The following is a 21,100-nucleotide window of genomic DNA, read 5'->3' as shown; positions in this document are numbered from 1 at the left end:
CTAAAAATACAAAAATTAGCCAGGCGCGGTGGCATGCACCTGTAGTCCAGCCTACTCAGGAGGCTGACAGAAGAATTGCTTGAACCAGGGAGACGGAGGTTGCAGTGAACCAAGATTGTGCCACTTCACTCCTACACACCAGCCTGGGCAACAGAGTGAGACTCTGTCTCAAGGAAAAAAAAAAAAAAAAAAAAAAACATACACACACACACACACACACACACACACACGGCACTGGAGATTTCATTAAAGTATAATTGATTAAATCATTGGCCATTGGTGATTGGGCTCAATCTGCAGCCCCTCTTCCCTCCCCGGATGCTGGACTGGGGTTGAAAGTTCTCACCCTCTAACTACAGTGGTAAAGAGTACCCACCCTGAAGTGGAAGCTACACAGCCTCTCCTCCCCAAACACCCAGACCCACGCCACTCATCTGATTAGCACAGACTAGAGAGTAAATTCCAAAGGCTTTAGGGGCTCCATGCCAGGAACAAGGGAAAAAGACCAAATATTTATTATTATATCACACTCAGCCAAATAAAACCATGTGTAGATAACAGAAGGCACTAAATCATTGAAGATTTGTCCCTTGCTCATAGACTTCTCTTTACTTGGAATAACACTTCGACCTGCCTACAAATCTTCAACAGTTTATTTCAGCTATTACCTCCTTTATAAGATCTTTCCTAGTCTTCCTAGATCCTCTTAGTTCTACCTACAAATACTTTATTTAACTTTCAATATTATCTGTGCACCTCTGGCTCTAGCCACTACCAATTTAAAAGCTTTTTGTATGTTATCTATTTCTCAGTCTGCTTAAAACAAAGAATACATAAATGAACGGTCATGATACTGAGTGATGACTAAGCAGAAATGTACACATGCAATTGAAAACCTAAAACTAGAATTTATGTGAAGATGTAACATTACACTTATTTTCAATACACATACTTGATAGTAATGAACATATATGACTCGGAAAATATATAATCTCTCAAAGGTAAAGCTTGCAAAGAAATCAGAAAATCAAAGACAAACCTTGGAAAATTCCCACAGATAAGCAGAAACACATACTAGCAATAAAGCAATATTTAGAATACAATTATTACTTCAGTATAAGAATACTATTTCACAATGTCTACAAAAGCAGTTATCACGCTGCATAGTATGTCACTCTCTTGATTGCCCAGGCACTCAAATATGTACACAAGGCAAAGTACTCACAAGTTCTGATGAATATTTATTTGGCGCTAACTTATAGGTAAGCTATAATTGTTACCTCTTATTCACAGCAAGTGTATCCTGCTCTACATTAAATCACACAACCTGTTCAGTTCAACATGGAAATATCGGCATTTACTGAGCTATAGCTTAAGAAAAAAAAATTAAAAAAAAAAACACACTTGAGAGCATATCTGTTACAGTTTTACAATAAAAAGACCAAAAATACCACTCACTCTACAATAATGGTTATTAATTAGGTATCAAGTCAGAAATGCAGTATAGTTGACAACAGAAATAAAATTTACTTCCAAAAGCTTAACATATTACAATATCCTGAAATACATATACCGATTTCCTTAGTTGAAGCCACAAATGCCAAATTAGCTTCTGCAAAACACTGCCATCTGTCAAATTAAGCTAACCTTTTTATTCTGAATTTCTCCAGTTTTGTAGTTTTGGTTACCTTTAAGTTAGTAGTTGGTTTTTCATCTTATTACATAAGAGCTACCCAACAGAACATAATAAATGTATGCCTAGTTTATATTTAAACAAGTTTCAGTAAAACCATAATAAAAATATTTTAATTTGGCTGAGCACAGTGGCTCATGCCTGTAATGCCAATGCTTTGGAAGGCCAAAGTGAAAGGTTTGCTTAACACCAGGAATTCAAGACCAGCCTGGGAAACAGAGCGAGACCCCATCTCTACAAAAAAAAAAAAAAAAAAAAAAAAAACTAAAAAGTAGCTGGGTGGATGGTACACACCTGTAGTCCCAGCTACTTGGGAGGCTGAGGAGGGAGGATAGTGTGGGTCCAGGAGTTTGAGGCTGAAGCAGGCTATGATTATGCCACTGCACTCCAGCCTGGGCAAGAGAGCAAGACTCTGTCTCAAAAATATATTTTTTAATTCAAGGGCGAAAGTTCCTGACACCTGTTTTTCTTTACAATGGTCCCAACTGAAGAATTTAAAAAGTATACATACTGTTGTCAGGCAGAGTATTAATGGGAAGGAGGAACTGTTCAATAAAGTCGCTGGTTCTCCAGAGGGGAAAAATTCTGACATCTACTCAAACAACATGCAAAAATCAAACCCAAGTGGAATGAAACTTAAACCCTGCATGAAGACAAATTAAGAAAACACTTAGAGGGCAATAAATGAGACTATCTTTGTGAAACAGGACATGGAAGTTCAAATATTAAAGGAAGCTAATTATACATGAAACTAAATTAAAAATAAAAATGTCTACTCATGAAAGTACATAAAGAGAATAAAAAGACATCGTGAAAACAGAAAATATTTGCAAAACATATACAGTAGTTTCCCCTTATCTCGTTTCACTTTTTGAAGTTTCAGTTACCAATGATCAAGCGTAGTCCAAAAATATGAAAAGTTCCAGAAACGATGTTTTAAATTGTGCACTATTCTGACTGAGTGCTGTGCATAATGAAATCTCACTCCATGCCACCCACAACATGAATCTTCCCTTTGTCCAACATATCCACACTGTGTATACTACCCACTTAGTAGTCAGCAGCCATCTCAGTTATCGGATATTTTGAAAAAGACTACATTCACACAACATTATATTATCATAGTTGTTCTATTTCATTACTAGTTATTGTTGTTAGTCTCTACTAATTTATAAATTACCTAATTTATAAATTAAACTTTATCACAGGTAGATACTATATATAGGAAAAAAACTATATGTACTATATAGTTATATAGTGCCTAATTTATAAATTAAACTTTATCACAGGTATATATAGATAAGAAAAAACTATATATACTATATTCTATATAGTACTGAACCATACTATATATGGTATACTATTTCAAATATTTTGAAAACATATACAGTATGTTATGTGAATGTAGTCTCTTTCAAAATATACTCTATAAATGGTTCAATACTAGCCACAGTTTCAGGCATCCACTGGGGGTCTTGGAACACATTCCATGAGAGTAAACGTGGACTATTGTAAATAGAAAAACAAAAGTAGTATCTAAACCATAAAGAACTACCTCAAATCATAAAGAAAAAGATAAATAGCCCAAAAGAAAAAACAGGCAAGAGAAACAAATGTCAATTTCACAGAAAAGAATCACAGTGGACCATAAATATATAAAAAGATATATAAACAAATAGTTTAACTGTAGAATGGTTAAGCTGTAGTATATCTAGAAGTATAAATTAACAATAACACATTTTTAACAAAATAAGAAGTGCAACAACTAAAACCATACTTAGTAGTAAAAGACTGCTTTCCATACAAAATCGGGAACAAGACAAAGATGTCTGTCATTACCACTTCTATTAAACATTTTAGAGAATACCCCAAAAAGCACAATTTTTAAAATGAATAAAAGTGGTAAATACATTTATTAGAATAAGTGAATTTCGCAAAGTCGCAGATACAAGCTTCATACAGAAAAATCAACCACATTCTATATACCAGCAAAAAACAATTGGAATAAAAACTAAAAACCACTGGCAGGGTGCAGTGGCTCACAACTGTAATCCCAGCACTTTGGGAGGCCGAGGCTGGTGGATCATGCTGTCCAGAGATCAAGACTATCCTGGCTATAACACAGTGAAACTCCATCTCTACTAAAAATACAAAAAATTAGCCGGGTGTGGTGGCACACACCTGTAGTCCCAGCTACTAGGGAGGCTGAGGCAGGAGAATCGCTTGAACCTGGGAGGCGGCGGTTGCAGTGAAAGTGAGACTGCGTCTCAAAAAAAATAAAAATAAAAATAAAAAATACCACTTACAATAGCATCAAAAAAGTCAACTGTAACAAAAGATATGCAAAGACCTTTAAACCGTTAAAAAACAAAACCTAAATAAATGGAGAAATATATGTGTTCTTGGATTGAAAGGCTAAAATACTGTAAAGATGTCCAAACAGTCAGAAAGAATCCATACATCCAACACAATCCTACTCAGAAACCCCAGAAGGCTCTTTGTCCAACTGTTCAAAGTACCTCAGAATTGTATATGGAAATACAAAAAATTCTAGAATAGCCAAAACAAATTTCTAACAAGAACAAAGTTGAAGAATTTACATTCACCCACTTCAAGGCACATTTCAAAGCCACAGTAATCAAGAAAGAACGGCACCACATAAGGATAGAAAGGAACTGAGTTCAAAAATAAACCCACTCATACATGATCAATTAATTTTCCATAAAGGTACCAATATAATTCAATGATGAAAGGACAGCTTTTTCAAAAGTAGGTGCTGGGACTAGATTCCACATGCAATAAATGAACCTTGACTTAGTGACACCTCAGAACACACACAGAAATGAATTCCAAATGGATCGTAAACCTAAAATGGCAAAACTTCTAGAACAAAACACAGGGAGAAAAAATTTACAAACTAAGTTTCAAGAAAATGGTTAAAGCAGCCGGGCGTGGTGGCTCACGCCTGTAATCCCAGCACTTTGGGAGACCGAGGCGGGCGGATCACCTGAGGTCGCGAGTTCGAGACCAGGCTGGCCAACATGGTGAAACCCTGTCTCTACTAAAAATACAAAAATTAGCTGAGCGTGGTGGTGCATGCCTGTAATCCCAGCTACTCAGGAGGCTGAGGCAGAAGAATCGCTTGAACCCAGGGAGGCGGAGGCTGCAGTGAGTGAGATCATGCCATTGCACTCCAGCCTGGGCAATAAGAGTGAAATTCCGTCACAAAAAAAAAAAAAAAAAAAGAAAAGAAAAAGAAAAAGAAAATGGTTAAAGTACTAACCATAAAAGTAAATTAAACAATCAATATTAAAATACTTCAACTTCAAAGAAACTGTTAAGAAAATGCAAATACAAGCCACACATTGGGAGAAAGTATTTGTAATTACATATACATGATAAAAGACAACCAAAATATAAAGAATTCCTACAACTCAACAGCAAGAAGATAACCCAACTAAGAAATTGGGAAATAATCTTAACATGTTAAAAAGAAGACATAAAAATGGTCAATAAGGAAAAGACAGAGGCCCTGGGTTATCAGTAGCTCTCCTGCAACATCCCCTGCCTGCCTCCCACACCTCCCTCCCCCCGACCATAAAAGATGCCCCTGCTTAGAAGCTTAAGGCAGAACAACATCAGCACTCAGGAAAAGAAGGAGTGGGAAGGGAGGGGAAGGGAGGGGAAGTGGCGGGGATGGAGGCCGTGGCCCTAAAGTGGTCAGTCAGCCCTCTTGCTTTAGACAGCAAACCGAGAGAATTCTACACACTCTTCTGCTCATGCAAGAAATGCTTGGAAGAGCATTTACTTTCATTCAAAAGCGGCAGACCCGGCGGGGTGCGGTGGCTCACGCCTGTAATCCCAGCACTTTGGGAGGCTGAGGCAGGTGGATCACCTGAGGTCAGGAGTTCAAGACTCGCCTGGACAACATGGAAAACCCCATCTCTAGTAAAAATACAAAAATTAGACGGGTGTGGTGGCAGGCACCTGTAGTCCCAGCTACTCAGGAGGTTGGGGCAGGAGAATCGCTTGAACCTGGGAGGTGGGGGCTGCCGTGAGCTGAGATCACACCACTGCACTCCAGCCTGGGCAACAAGAACGAAGCTCTGCCCCAAAACAACAACAACAACAAAACTGCAGACCCTAGGAGGCCGAGACAGGAAGATCACTTGAGGTCAGGAGTTCAAGACCAGCCTGGCCAACATGGCAAAACCCCGTCATAAAAATTAGCCAGGCCTGGTGGCGTGTACCTGTAGTCCCAGCTATGTGGGATGCTGAGGCATGACAATCACTTGAACCCAGGAGGCAGAGGTTGCAGTGAGCCAGATTGCACCACTGCACTCCAGCCTGGGTGACACGGTGAGACCTTTGTCTCAAAAATAACAACAACAACAAAAAAACGCAGACCCTAAGGTTTGCCTAAGCCAACACCAAGATGGACAAAAATAAAGTAATGGCAAACCCCACCAATGTTCACACAGCCCTAGGACCACACCTCCTAGCACAGGACCCCATGACCTGAGGGAGTGGCTCTGATCTCTGTAACCCCAAAGGCCTGAAACCCCTACCCACTTTACACCATAGAAACCACAGAGCTGACCAGGGTCATCTTATATGCTGCTTTCAGCTACTCTGCTACAGTTCGACATGCTCAGGTACACTGGTGCTCTCCTCCTGGCGCCACCCAGCAAGAATGGAAACACTGTCAGTTCTGTAAGTTCCACTGTTCTAAGTGACTTCAATTCCTGCCTCACTTGGGAAGAAGCCTAGAAGCCAGTTCTGCAAATCTGCATGATGCTACCAAAATTGGTAAAGAGAGTGTCCACTGACCCCAGGAGGCCTGCGCAGAGCTGTTTCTGATAGCCACAGTAGACAAATTCCCAGGCAGGCAGGGACAGTAGACAAATTCCTAGGCAGGCGCCACAGTAGACCAATTCCTAGGCAGGCGCCACAGTAGACCAACTCCTAGGCAGGCAGGGACAGGTCCCTGGTGAAACCTGACCTTCAAACCAAAGACAGTTTAAAGCCTACCAAGCTGCCTGTTCTAGATATAGATAGAGTCCACAGCTGGAGTGAAAACTTTTCTTTTTGCCTACTCTTTCCCAATTGGTTCTTTCCGAATAATGCTTTTAAACCAATTGAATGTTGCCTTTTCCAAGGCTACCTCCAGCCCACATCTCCTCATTCCAAACCTAAAAAAACCCTGGACTCAACTGCAAAGATGGCTACCAGCTTTTGGGGCCCCCTCACACAGAGGGCTATCCACTTCACGTCCCCTCTCATTGTCAAGAGCTTTTCTGTTGCTCAATAACATTCTTCTCTGCCTTCCTCACTCTCTGGTGTCCACGTACCTCATTATTCTTGGTCACTGGACAAAAACCCAGAACTCGCCAAACGGTGGGAACAAAGAACGGCTGTAACACGCACCTGGCTGGCTCCTGGAGCTGTGGGCAGTGGGCATGAAAAGAGCTGTTACACACTCCCAATTGCTGGAATATGGGAGTGATGAGCCGCGACCCCTCTGGGGGCCCAAACATCAGGACCCCTCGAACTAGAACCATAATACACCCCCATTCACAAAGCCATGCGCAGCAGGAATAAACAAGCTCTAACACACCCCCATTCAGGGAGCTGTGAGCGGCAGGAACAAGAGAGGGCTGTGGCATTCCCTGGTGGCTCAGACCTCGGGACTCCCCAGGCAGAAGCTATGACACCCCCTTGGGGCTCCACGGTTGCTGCCGTCTCCGAGTTTCTGGGTTCCACCACGTTCCCCTCATCTGAATGCTGGAGTCCAGCTGTGGAAGCCACATGCGGTATACCCAGTCCCGCCATGGGCTGAGCACGGAGTGGCAGTGGTCGTGGGATCTGGGCTGGGGATCAGCTGAGAGCACCCTGCTGGGCCGAGCAGGCAGAGCGAGCCCAGTGAGTGTAAGCAAAGCCTGGGCAGAGGCACTGCTGGCCTTAGAGGTTTCTTGCTGGTGAAGTGGCACCGATAAAATCTTGTGTCACTTCTTCCCTCCAAAAATTGAGGATTTTAAACCTCAGGTAGTGGACCATTTCTCGTTTCCTTTCTTCTGTGCTCATCCTCAGCTCTGCCCAGCTCCAAAGCCGTTCTCCAAAGCCCCATGGGAAAACTTCAGGGCATTCTTGATCAGACACCCAGACCCAGCCCAGAGGCCTCACACGAAGACAAAGAAAACCCCAGAACTTCATTCAGCCCAGTGTTTCTGTAGCTCCACCTTAACTGAGACATTTGATTATGCATGTATTCTGGCATGAATTAAGACACAAAACTTTTGTATATGTGAATGCACAGTTGGTTTCAACATTGGTGTTACCATAACAAGCCCTGGCCACTAATGGTACATCATTCCTGGCTCCTCTCTGCACACCCCTCCCCAGCACATCTATCCCACTTCCGTGAGGATGTAGCTCCCAGCTCTGCAAACAATTCTGCCCTGATGACCTAATGACCTCTCACCACACACCACCCATTTCCAGACTGAACAGCAACAACAAAAACCCAACAGATATAGTGGGGGTTTTCCAATTCAGATTCCTCTTCTTCCCTGTCTTCAGACAGATAAAAAACTGTTAAAAAAAAAAAAAAAGGAAGTATCTTTCTGCCCAATTTCTGTCCAATTTACTTACCTCACCACAGTTCATCCCACCCCTGCAACTGCACTATGTTCTTTTCAAACTTCCAACCCAACTAAAATGTGAAATTATTTTTGTACACGGTGTAATAAAATATGTATCATAAAGATTTCTCATGTATGTGTGCAATTAATTGTTAAAGAGATAAATTTAATATTTACTTTGAGGCATGATGAAGAAATGAGTTCCCATTTTTCAGCAATGTACCTTTTTATCAGGTGTTAGTTTAAACAAGCAAACAAAAAAAATTGTGCAATCTCAATTTGTTTTGTGAACATATTAGCACTTGGTCCTGGAGTGTTCTACCTTTAGCTACATCTCTGACATTTTTGCCATTTTAAGACTTGGAAGAATGCAGCTACTGTGATTCCTATCGTGTAGGAGTGTTAAAACTGGATAATGTATGAGAAGCAATGTTAAAAAAAATCATCCTCAAACTGGCCAACAAGCACTTGAAAGACATCCAAAATCATTAGTCATTAGGGAAATATACAATTACTACCACAATGAGGTACACCACATATTCACCAAATGGCTAAAACATAAAAGATTAAAAATGCCAGGTGTTGGCAAAAATGTAGACCACCTGAAATTCTCCTATATTGCTAATGAGAATGTACAATGATACAATCAATTTGGATAACAATTTAGTACTATAACAATTCTACACCTATGTATTTGCCCAAGAGAAATAGAAATACGTCTCAAAGACCTGCTTACAAATGTACACATAACATTATATATGGGTCAAAAAACTGGAAAAAAAAAAAAAAGTACATCAAAAGGTACATGAATACACAGATGTGAGAATATTTATATAATATTACTCCATAGTAAAAAGAAACATATTGATACATGCAATAAAACATGGGTGAATCTCAAAAGCTTTTTGCTGAGCAAAAGCAGTCAGATGCGAGAAAAAAAAAAAATTTGGTATAAACAAATCGATGTGAAGACCCAGAACAGCCAAAACTGATCTACAGTAATAAAAATCAGATCAACAGTTGCCTGAAATAATGACGGTGTTGATAATTAATGAGAAAGGTGATACAGGACAAATTTTGTGGAGTGACAGAAATGTTCTGTATGGCCAAATTCATCAAATTACACACTTTCAGTGTAAATCATACCACGATAACATTAACTTGAAAAAAGTCAAGATAGCAGTAGTGTGGGGGTGGGGGGTGGTGTAGAAAAGAGGGACAGTATGAATGAGGAACAAAGGAAATTTCCAGGACAATAAGATATTCTATTTCATGTCTAAAATTGTACAAAGAATACTAATCTTAATATATTTAAGTTGTACATAAGTTTTCATATGCTATGGTTAGCCCCCACAAAAAAATCCTATAGGAATTATTCATACACAAATACACACGCACATACCAAAAAAAAAAAAAAAAAAAAAAAAAAAAAAAAACAGCCAGAAAGAAACAGGAAGATTACAACTTTAGCATGTACAATCACTTTCCAACTCCTTAATCCATCGATTCAACTTATTTGTGCCTCCAGGAGTAAGAGGGGCAAGTATCCCACCTAGCCACCTGAAGCTTTGGGTTTCCATAGAGATGTTGGCCAGAAAAGCCTGAGGGAGGAGACAGCTCCTCTACAAGGAAACATGTTGCTGCACTGATGGAGAGAAACACCTGAAACAAAAAAAAACAATGTCCGTTCAAAGACCCTGCTTCCATATTAAATTTGGTGTATTGTGATAATTCAATCCCTAAAGGACCCCTGCAGTCAATTTACACAGTGCTCAAGGCACTTTTACCTTTAAGAATACTAATTAACTTCAACCAGTGATCCTCAAACATTAAGTGCAGAAGAATAATCTGCGATTCTTATTAAGCAGGCTTTAGCCCAACCCTCAACATCTTGAAACAATACGTCTAGGGTGAGGCACAGAAGTCTGCACTTTTAGCAAGCACTACAGATAATTAAGACAGTCCATAAAAACCATATTATACGAAACTGATCTAAACCTATAGTAACAAGACTAAGGAAAATATTGCTGGGCATTTAAAATATCCAGCAGTTCAGAGAACCAAAAACTAAAAATAAAGCAGATGGTCTGTACTGAAGCAGAGTTAATCAAGGGGCAAAAAAGAGAAAAACTGAAAAATTACTTACTACATACATAAAACAAGATGTCATGACAAGGATGATGTCCTTGGAAATTAATTAAAGTCTGCCAAAATAAATGCAAGGCCTCATCCTTTTATAAATTCAACTTTCACATCATCTACTTGCTCACATTATATAGTGACATTCCTAAACTCACTTTCACAAGCCAAATTTGGTCCTTCAAACATAACAAAAATCAGTGATTATATTGTAGGAAAAAGGCAGGCCACTGCTGCAGGTCAGTGCTTAAAGCAATTCTATGACATTAGAGAGTAAAATTATGCCAGTGTCAGGGGAAGAAAGACCCTGTAGACACCTTACTCTAAGCACATCAGGGCAGAAATCAATTGTGGAGTGGCCCCTGGAGAAGGAAATTAGTGAGGGCCACTAATACAAAAAAAAAGTGCCCTGCCTGACTTCACAGTTCCTAGGATGACAGAGAAGAGACTGACAAACTACCAGCACCCCTCCACCACCACACCCAGGATACCTAGGGTGAAAGCTTAAACAAAGGTCACCAGTACCCAAAGAAAAAATACCTGCAAGCATCACGACTGAAAATACTACAATATCTTTTAGTTAAACAGAACCTACTTTGTAAATCTGCACAACTAACACATGTAAATATTTCAGAAATGCATGAGGTACAAAAGTAGGTAACTGCCTTTTTAGATCAGCAAGAACAAAAAAATACTCATTGTTATCACTTCTAATCAATATTTATTGGAAGTATTTGCTAGTACAGGAAAAAAAATGAAAGTACAGGCACAAAAACTGAAATTATACATAAAACTTTTTAATCATGATGTAGCAGGACGAGCCGCAGACAAAACTCCTCAGAACCGAGTTAAAGGAGGAAGGGGTTTATTCGGCTGGGGGCATCAGCAAGACTCCTGTCTCAAGAGCCGAGCTCCCGGGGTGAGCAATTCCTGTCCCTTTTAAGGGCTCACAACTCTAAGAGGGTGCGTGTGAGAGGGTCATGATCAAATGAGCAAGCAGGGGGTATGTGACTGGGGGCTGCATGCACCGGTAATTAGATCTGAACAAAACAGTATCGGGATTTTCACAGTGTCTGTGCAATGTCTGTAATCTATAGATAACATAACTGATTAGGTCAGGGGTCGATCTTTAACTACCAGGCCCAGGGTGTGGCCCTGGGCTGTCTGCTTGTGGATTTCATTTCTGCCTTTTAGTTTTTACTTTTTCTTTCTTTGAGGGCAGAAATTGGGCATAAGACAATATGAGGCGTGGTCTCCTCCCTTAATGATATGATCTTTTACACAGAAAGTACAAAATTGTCTCTGGAAAAGGTATTAGAAACATTTAGCAAGGTGGCTAGGTATAAAATTAACATACAAAAGACCACTGCATTTGCATACACCAATAACAAATTTTTAAAAGCACTGCCATATAACAGTTATCAGAAATTATCAACTACCTGAAACAAAAGATGTACAATAGTTTTGTGTTAAATTATAAACCATACAAGAGATATTAAACACGACCTAATAAAAATAGTATATCCTGCTCATCCTGTATCATAAAGATCTTAATAATCCCAAATGGATCTACAGATTCAATCAAATTAATCAAAAAGACAGAGGATTTGAGAGAGCTTGGTATGATCATTCTAAAATTTCTAAGGAAAAGTCAAGTGTTACTTCTGAAAAAAAGGAACAAAGGCAAAGAACTTTCTTTTCCAGTATGAGAGATTATTTTAAAGCAACAACAATGAACACAGGATGATATTCACAAAATGAATGATGAAAGTCAAGGAAAGGGAAAAAAATTTTGCATTAAACTTTTGCATATATGACAAAGATGGCCTATCAATTCAGTAGAAGAGAGCATTAACTTTTCAATAAAGCAAGGATAACAAAAGAACTTTTTAAAATCATTTACAGGTTGCACATCCCAAAACTCCAAGCCAGAAATAAGAAATGCTCCACAATTTGAAAACTCCATATTTTCTGAGAACCAACAAGATGTTGAAAGGAAATGCTCACTGGCTTATTTCAGATTTCAGATTTTCAAATTTCGGATATTTACCCAACCCAGGTAAGCAAAATACAAATATTCCAAAATCTGAAGGGAAAAAAAAAAAAGTCCAAAATCCAAAACACTTCTGGTCCCAAGCATTTTGGATATGAGAGATTCAATCTGTATATGATGAAAATAAAACTGTATCCCTACCTCGCACCATATACAAAACTCAAGCACAGATGAAAAAGAGTATAAAATGTTGCAAATATAACTTTAAAACTCTTGGTTAAAAATACAGACGACTACCTTCTAGATATTGTAGCAGGGAAAAGTTCTTAAAATTTTTAAGTTAAAACAACTAACATTAAAAAAAATACCTTCAGCCATTGATATAGATGCAATAAATCAACAGGAAGATGAACAGAGGATTCAAGATGATACACTCAAATGAAAGTAAAGGGATAGGATAAGGGATATAGGTTATTATCGAAGTTCCAGCTTTTGTTTTAAATAGGGGGTTCGTGTGTGTTTATTATTTAAAATAAGCAATTTAACAAATAAATGAAAATATATTTGCAGGAAGAGCTGATCATGAGAAAATTGGCAAAATTAATTCAATTATGTGTACTTCAGAACCAAACTAAAAATATATATTATTAAAAACAAACTCTTTGTAAACTATCTGACCACATATAAGGGTAGTAAATACAGAACTGGCATTACAAAAATAATAATCTAGATAATCAAACTAAAAAGTTACCACAGCATACAGGACAAAATGGGAGAGAAGAAACATTTGAAGCCAGGAAGAAAGATAAGTGACGTATAAAATCCAAATAATGTAGTTTTAAATGAAGATGAGGAAAAGAGTGGAAGAAAAATTCCTGAGAACACAGATTTCAGACGAAAAATCCTAGGCAGGACCATTAAAAAGATACATACATAAACACACGCAAGTGAAATTTCTGAACTCTTAAAAACAAAGAGTAAAATCTTACAAGGTAACACAGAGAGTTAACTTATCTGGAAAAAAAAAAAAAGCAGAGTGGCATCAAACCATCAAAAAGCATTATACAACAGACCAAAAAACACAGTTAAAATTAAATAGTTAATTAAAAAAAACTAGCTACTAATAATGCATCTGCAACACTAAGAAAATTCATCACCTAGAATTACAATTCTATATTATCCCAACAAAACTAGGAATACCATAAGAAAAAACATGCTAAAATGTCTTACCTAATTTGGGGCAAATGGGTGGAGAAAAAAGTTAATTTTTTATGTTACCGAAAAAAGCTATTAATGTTTTATATTATCAAAATTTTATATTATAAAAATATATTTGTTTAAAATTAAAAGAGCCAAAATTGAAAAGAAAACGTTAAAGACAAGGGTGGGGGTGGTGATACAATGAAAATTTGGTCTATCCATCAAAACTGAATGGAGAAAACAAGACTAATAAATGGATAATCAGATGACAATAAAAAGATTAAATTTATCAGTTATCACCACATGTGCATGGTTAAATTCTAAAAGACAAAAACACAAGTTTGGATTGAATCCATTAGAAATACAAAGAGAAACTGCCCAGTACTTCGGGAGCCCAAGGCAGGCTGATCACTCGGGGTCAGGAGTTTAAGACCAGCCTGGCCAACACGATGAAACCCTCTCTCTAGTAAAATTACAAAAAGTAGCTGGGCGTGGTGGTGTACACCTGTAGTCCCAGCTACTCAGAAGGCTGAGGCAGGAGAATTGCTTGAACCTGGGAGGCAGAAGTTGCAGTGAGCTGAGATTGCACCATTGCACTCCAGCTTGGGTGAGAGAGCAAAACCCCGTCTCAAAAAAAAAAGCAGGAAATAAGATCAGCATCTGGCAAACACTACTGACGACAAAACAAGCAGGGATAAAAAAAATGGCATGTCTACATACATATATATATATGTACATACATACACACACACACACACACACATACACACACACACACACAGATTTAGGACAAAACTTTAGACCAATAAATACAGAAACCTAAATGAAATTTAGAATTTTCTAGAACTAAAAAAATTTAAAATTTGACCCTAGAAAAGATAGAAAATTTAAAAGACAATAAGCAAAATTTGGAAACTTTACCTAAAATTTGCTCTAAATGAGCAGCTCAGCCCTGATACAGTCATGTTCACCAAATCTTCAAAGTAACAAGTACCTCAGTTGAACGCTATCTAATTTTTCAAATCAAAAAAGATCATACACCACCAATTTTGAATGACTCAACATAATCCTACACTAAACAATTCCAAAAGCACAGGAAAACACAGAAAGCCTTCTAATCATTTTATGAGCTAACCTTATCTTAATAGCCCTCATGGGCACACCAAACCTTGTAAGCAATCTCATTAAAGAATCCAAGGAGAACTGGTTCCAGGACCCCCAGAGGCCAAAATCTGCGAATGTCAAAGTCCCTTATATAAAATGGTATAATACTTGCATGTAACTTACACATCCACACATCCTCCAGCATACTTTAAATCATTTCTAGATTACTTATAATACCTAACACAATGTAAATGCTACATAAATAGTTGTTATACTGTATTGTTAGGGAATAATGACCAAAATGAGACTGTACATGTTCAGTACAGATGCAACAATGCTTTTTTTTTCCAGAATATTTTCAATCCACAGCTGGTTGAATCTATGGATTCAGAACCTGTGGATACAGAAGGCCAATTGTATACCAAATTCTAGGTTTAAATTTATTATATTAAATATAGAAACATATTTAAAATAGTAAAGCAACATGACCAAATGGGGTTTTATCAGGAATTCAAGGACAGCCAAAACGATACAACATTGTGGTTAAGAGCAGGGGCTTGTGTATCACATGACTTTTGAGTTTATCCAACCCTTAATACATACTAGAGATGAAATGTTGCTTTAGTTCTCCAATACTGTTTCTTCAGCTTCAATAAGAAAGGAGAAAAATAGCACTCACTTCATAAGGTGGTTGGAAAGATTAAATGAAAAAAGTTTGTAAGAAGGCTCAGCACAGCGCCTTACACGGATTATATAGTAAATATTCATATATCGTATGTACAAATGGTTCTTATGTTACTGACATAAAATATCATTCACTGCAAAGAAAAAGACATGACAGTCAACATCTAAATCTAGTTTTGAAACATTTATAAAACTTAGGAATGTAAGAAAATTTCCATATTATAAGGAAACAATATATAATAGAAACTAACATAAATTGTAGTAGCATTCTGTCATCTTAAAGTAATAAGTGGTAAAAATAATGACAAGAAAGAGGTCAGAATATTAAGTATTTGTAAAGGATATGGACTGTATACATATAATATTGAAGAAAATCAACAGAATATTTATTAGAAATGATGTGAATTCATTTAAAAGACTGGATACAATGTGAGTCTACAAGTCAAAAGTAGGTGTGAAAAGGAAAGAATAAGAAAAGGAATAAACAGCTGGAAACCTCTCTGCCCAAATCAAGTCTTATACTAATAATAAGATAATCAACTGATTCCTAATAAAGAATGCCTCCTTTAAGTAACATTTAAAGTGATTTAAGTAATGTTAACTATCAAATGCTGCATGGTATAGTTTTATAACCTTAGATAATCCTAAATTGGAAAATACATGTTATTTTAAGTAAGAAATTTACCCTGAATCCAGTCTGCATTGTTTTTCAAGTTTTAACTCTTGAACTTGGCTAATCTATGACAACCTTCCCACCTAACCCTCATCTTTGGAGGAATTCAGTGAAAGTTGACTGTAGATCTGTTAGATTCCTCTGCTTCCATTCTATACTGTTTCTTTTTTATTCTCCCTATACAGAACACTTGCTTAGGACCATTAAACAATCTAATCTAAAGAAGTTGCTAAAGTTTAAAGCCTTAACATACTACTGTTAACATACTAATATTACTGCTTTGAAAGAACCTTCAGAAGCACTTAATGACTTGCCCAAGGTGACAAAAAGGTGGTTGAGATCTATCCCACATCCTGTCTTTCAGTACCACTGCCTATTCTCCTAGCATGAGCACGCACAGTTTTTCAAGCTTTCATTGTTTTGTTTTGGTTTTTTGTTTTTTTGACATGGAGTCTTGCTCTGTCGCCCAGGCTGGAGTGCAATGGCGCGATCTCGGCTCACTGCAACCTCCGCCTCCCGAGTTCAAGCGATTCTCCTGCCTCAGTCTCCTGAGTAGCTGGGATTACAGGCATGTGCCACCACGCCTGGCTAATTTTTGTATTTTTAGTAGTAGAGACTGGGTTTCACCATGTTGGTCAGGCTGGTCTCGAACTCCTGACCTCGTGATCCGCCTGCCTCACCTTCCCAAAGTACTGGGATTACAGGCTTGAGACACCACTCCTGGCAGGTGTCATTTTGTTGCCCAGGCTGGTTTTGAACTCCTGGCTTCAAGTGATCCTCCCACCTCAGCCTCCCAAAGTGCTGGGATTAAAGCATGAGCCACCATGCCCAGCCTCATTGTTTCTCAATAATTTTTAAATTCCAAGATTCAGTTAGGAAACAAAGTACTACACTCCTTTTGGAAACCAGTCACTTATTTCATTCATCACATATTTGCTGAGTCCTACTATGTGTAAAGAACTGTTCTAAGCCCTAGAGTGAAACAATATATTTTATTCAACTCAGAAGGATACATTTAATTAAATAGTATCCTGTTCATTTCACTCTGTAAATTAATTTGGTCCCTGGGAGCAAAACTCCTCCCAATAATAACTGCCCTAAAGAATCCTAGCTTGGTTCATCGGGTTAGATAGATTGGGGGGGGGGGGGGGGGCGCCGTGGAGTATCCTCATTTGGAACTTGAATCTATGTATCAAATTTCTGAGATCTAAGGCTCCTACACTTTGGTAAACATGAAGCACAAAGGCTGAAGATATATGTCCAAAACCAAAATTATCACAGAATTTAACTCATCTGCTGCCAACTGCACCTCACCTGAAATACCTAAACCTCAGAAAAGCAGCTTTCTGCAGTTTTACTACATCTCATAAGTCCCTGGGTTGGCCAAACTCCAGCAATCAAGCAAAGAACACATCAAAAGGGAAAGGCAGCCTCTTGCCTCATCATACTACATTGTGACAAAGACTAATGAATTCTATAGGCGAACCAAAAAATCATGAAAGTTTTGTGTAGTGTGGTGCTGCAAACAACAAAAAAACTTACATCCATCTGCAAAATAAAAGTTTTAAAAATCTTGAAAATAATATAGCTAAATAGTAAATACTTAAATTTTAAATAGTAAATACTTAAAATTTAAAAACACATATGTACACACAGTTTTTTAAGGTGAGAAGAAAACTGGCTAAAATGTTGGCTATGCAATATACACTACACACCTCTCCTTTTAGATAACCCATAAAGTGTCTGAGTAAAAACAGACTTTCACTTTTGTTTCTTCTAAGTGTGAAGTTCACTTCCTAGTTACCAGCTTTAAGTCCGCTTCCTGGTTACTAGCTTGACGGATTTAAATCTGTCAACTTATCGAGGTAGATGGTTTACTTGTATCCATATAAATATTTTTAAATAGTTCTAATATGAGTAACAAAGTAATCGTGTATTAATACGGAAAGCAAACACATTTAAGTGTTTCTTCTGTAAAACAATCTAAATATTATGGAAGTATAAAAGTTTCTCTAAAAAAAATCCCCAATAACAATGAAATGATCTAAAACACAGCCATACTAAAAGTAGCATCATAATGATAATATTTTGAATTAACTACTACTCCCTTTGTGTGTGGAGGGGATTCATTAAAGTAGGAAATTGGACTCGACAGCCAAGATCACTTTCGTTAACTTGATTCTTGATTCTACAATTTTATGCATAACCTCTGAACCATACAATAGAGCCTGCATAGTTATTTAATACAGTTTAGTCAAAATCAAATGAAAATAAAAAAATCCTAAACTTACAAAGTTCTTCCCATTGTTCAAACTTAGGAAGTGAAAAATTGGTATTTCTCACTTTGAAACAGACTTTAATATTCAACACTGAAGACAATTATAAACAAATGGTACCATACATATTAAATATTGCTTAGCGTTCACATGACCATGTGCTCTTTCCTAAGCCTTAAGTCTTTAAAAATTGAACTTGAAGGTATTCAAAATAGAATAGGGAGGATTAGGAAGGAAACTCTTTTAAATTCTCATTATTAAATCTTGAATTATTTCACTGTAAATAAAGTGCAGTGTGCAATATCCTTCTAACTTTACCAATAATATCAACTAACATACAAGTCTCAAAAACAACTTTCCCAACGTGCCTAAAATAACAATGCACTATCCTTGCTTTCCAAACTTGAGTATCTTCGATTACTTTAAAGCAGTATCATAAAATTCTAAAAATAATCTCAAAGCAAAAATTTAGCAGGCTGTATGTAGACAGCCCATTTTAGAACAGGTCTTATTCTAAAGTCAAGCACAGGTAGAATATTGCAATCTACACCAAATCTACAACAGGGTGGGGCATTCATTACTCACCCAGATAAACCAAACATAACTCTGGTGGTTGATCACAGTAAACCCTAACTGTCCCCGTAATACCAACACAACTAAGGCACGGTTTACTCTTTTGCCCAAAATGCTTTTCACGCAAATTAAAAATTAAAAAAAGAAGTTAAATCATGGCCAACTACTCTTCAGAACATGGTGCAAGCCATGATAGTGCACTTAAGATTCTGAAAGCAAAATCTAAAATAGCAGAATGATCTCTATTCACTTTAAAGATATAAAGTTTCACAAACAGTTTTTTAATTGTTTTCTTTAGTGAGTGACCATTTGAATGTGTGACTGATGCAAGAGTAAAGGGTGAACGAAAGAACAAGGTCAAACTTAGGGGACAAAAGATTCCTGGAATAACATGGCCAGAAAGGTTTCCTCTCTTAGGGACAGTTTCTATATTGAAAAAAAAAAAAAAAAAAAAAAAAACAGAAAAGAAGAAGAAGAAAGGGAAACCTTAAAAGGAAAAGAAACCAAGCAAACCACCTACTTCTAGAGTCCACCTGGTCAACACGCCTGCCCCGCGAGGCAGGTAATTCGATTTTGGTGGAGACCGTTTTGCAAAATAGCAGGCCTGGTACACTACTACCTTTGAAAGACAAAATCGGTTCAGAAAGGATGACAACTAGCTATTCTTTCTCATTTAAGGGGAGAGAATAAAGTTTCATTAAGATGCCACACAGAGCACTGTAGGAATGTGAGGGTCGCTCTCAATACCTGGCACCGTCTGCTACGGGAAAACAATCGGCAGAAGGAAGTGGATTGAAGCCCGCAAACTACACTCTGCTTCCCACACGCAGCTGGGCTCTGGGCGCGACGCCCCCGAGGCGATGGGCAGGGGCCGGGGGTGACCGGGGAGGAAGCCCGGGAAGGCGGCGGCGGCGAGGCCGGGGCGCCCGGCCGCAGCGGGAGAGGACAGCCCGTCGGAAGGAGAAGTGGGGCCCGCCGGCTGGCGGACTCGCCTCACCTTCTGCGCCGCGCTCTGCTGCAGCACGTTCTGCTCCACGGTCATGGCCCCCGCGGCGGCGGCGGCGGCGGCGGCGGTGGCGCCCGGCTCCTCGCGCCTCCGCCGGCCCTGGCTGCCGCGCTCCGCCGAGCTCCAGGGAGCGGCGCGGACGGCCTGGGAGGACAGCGCCCCCGCCAGCCAGGCGCGAAGGCGATGGCGGCCGGCGTGCGCGGGCACCGCGGGCAGGCGGCGAAACGCCGACTGTGAGGGCCACGGCGGCCGCCTCACGTCTCCACGCGGCCCGCCTCAGCGCCGCTCGTCCGCGGCGGCCCGGGCCATGAGCGGGCGGAGGACGCCGGGGCACGGGAGAGCGCGAGCCAGTCGGGCGGCGTCACGCGTTCGCACGTTCCTTTGCTGCCGGTCCGCGGGCTGCTTTGGGGAAGGGAGAGAGGGGACGGAGGGAGCGGCCGCCCGGAATGGCGTTGTCCTCCTCCCTCCGCGAGTCCTCCTCCCTCCCCTCCCCCACGCGCCATCCCCGCCCCCGCCCGGCGGCTCCTCCCCCGCAGAGCCCCGCCCGCCGGCCGCCCTAACCCTACATTGTGACCCTCCGGGCGGCGGGGCGGGGCCGCCATGGAGCCCCGCCCCTCCCTGCGCGGGCCTGGCGTTCCCGGGTGGGGCGAGGGCGCGCCTGGCTGCCTGGCCCGGGAGCCGCCCCTGCGGCAGGTTGCGCGACGCTGGCGCTGGGCTTCGGGGAGCGCGACTGGAGGCCGGAGGGCAGCGTTCCTCCCTGCGCCCAGGGCTTGTCGGATCCCTAGCTTACCCAAAGCCTCCAAAGCAAACATTTCCCTCCATGCCCATAACGTCCCAAAACTGCGTAGGGTCCCGAACTCCGGCCCCTTTCTGTGTCACGCGTTCTCTCCCCTCGCCTTTCTAGGAATTTCACAAGCCTTGAACTTGCCTGAAGGGAAAAGTCAAATAAGCAAAGGGTTGCCAGAAATCTTTATGCTGGGAAGTACTTTTCTCCTTAACTAATCATTACGTAAATGAATATAGACATTTTCTATCTACCTTCATTCATTCGAATATGTGTCAGTCACTGCTAGGCTCTGGAAAAATAAAGTTTATCTTCCCAAGACTTAATATAAATG

General features: G+C 39.7%; 1 protein-coding gene and 1 pseudogene across 14 annotated transcripts in view, besides 2 other annotated features; one reads left to right on the top strand and one right to left on the bottom strand.

Annotated features, from left to right (window-relative positions):
- The window catches only part of USP25 (ubiquitin specific peptidase 25), a 150,083-nt gene extending 129,653 nt beyond the window's left edge, over nt 1-20,430 (bottom strand). For 12 of the 14 annotated variants that reach the window (NM_001388301.1, NM_001388302.1, NM_001283041.3 and 9 more), the window contains exon 1: nt 19,974-20,430. Coding sequence is in view for 7 of the 14 variants with exons in the window: in NM_001283041.3 (NP_001269970.1) it covers nt 19,974-20,018 (45 nt within the window). In the remaining 7 variants the exon portion in view is untranslated. Of the gene's footprint in view, nt 1-9,886; nt 19,410-19,723 lie in introns of those variants that run through there. The other 2 variants (NM_001352560.2, XM_047440745.1) reach the window with 2 other exon arrangements.
- On the top strand, nt 6,084-6,408 carry RBPMSLP (RNA binding protein with multiple splicing-like pseudogene; annotated as a pseudogene).
- Nucleotides 7,461-8,105: an enhancer, noted in NCBI's record as "H3K27ac-H3K4me1 hESC enhancer chr21:17114626-17115270 (GRCh37/hg19 assembly coordinates)". NCBI's record gives its function as "activates a minimal SCP1, AML or CMV promoter by ChIP-STARR-seq in primed H9 embryonic stem cells {active_cell/tissue: H9 hESC(primed)}" and the evidence as "EXISTENCE:reporter gene assay evidence [ECO:0000049][PMID:30033119]".
- Nucleotides 19,866-20,825: a silencer, noted in NCBI's record as "silent region_13219". NCBI's record gives its function as "represses an Ori minimal core promoter by ATAC-STARR-seq in GM12878 lymphoblastoid cells {active_cell/tissue: GM12878}" and the evidence as "EXISTENCE:reporter gene assay evidence [ECO:0000049][PMID:35858748]".

This window comes from Homo sapiens, chromosome 21 (genome assembly GCF_000001405.40).
Source record: "Homo sapiens chromosome 21, GRCh38.p14 Primary Assembly".
NCBI lineage: Eukaryota > Metazoa > Chordata > Mammalia > Primates > Hominidae > Homo > Homo sapiens.
Note: the sequence above shows the minus strand (reverse complement) of the source record. Positions and strands in the feature narration are given on the sequence as shown.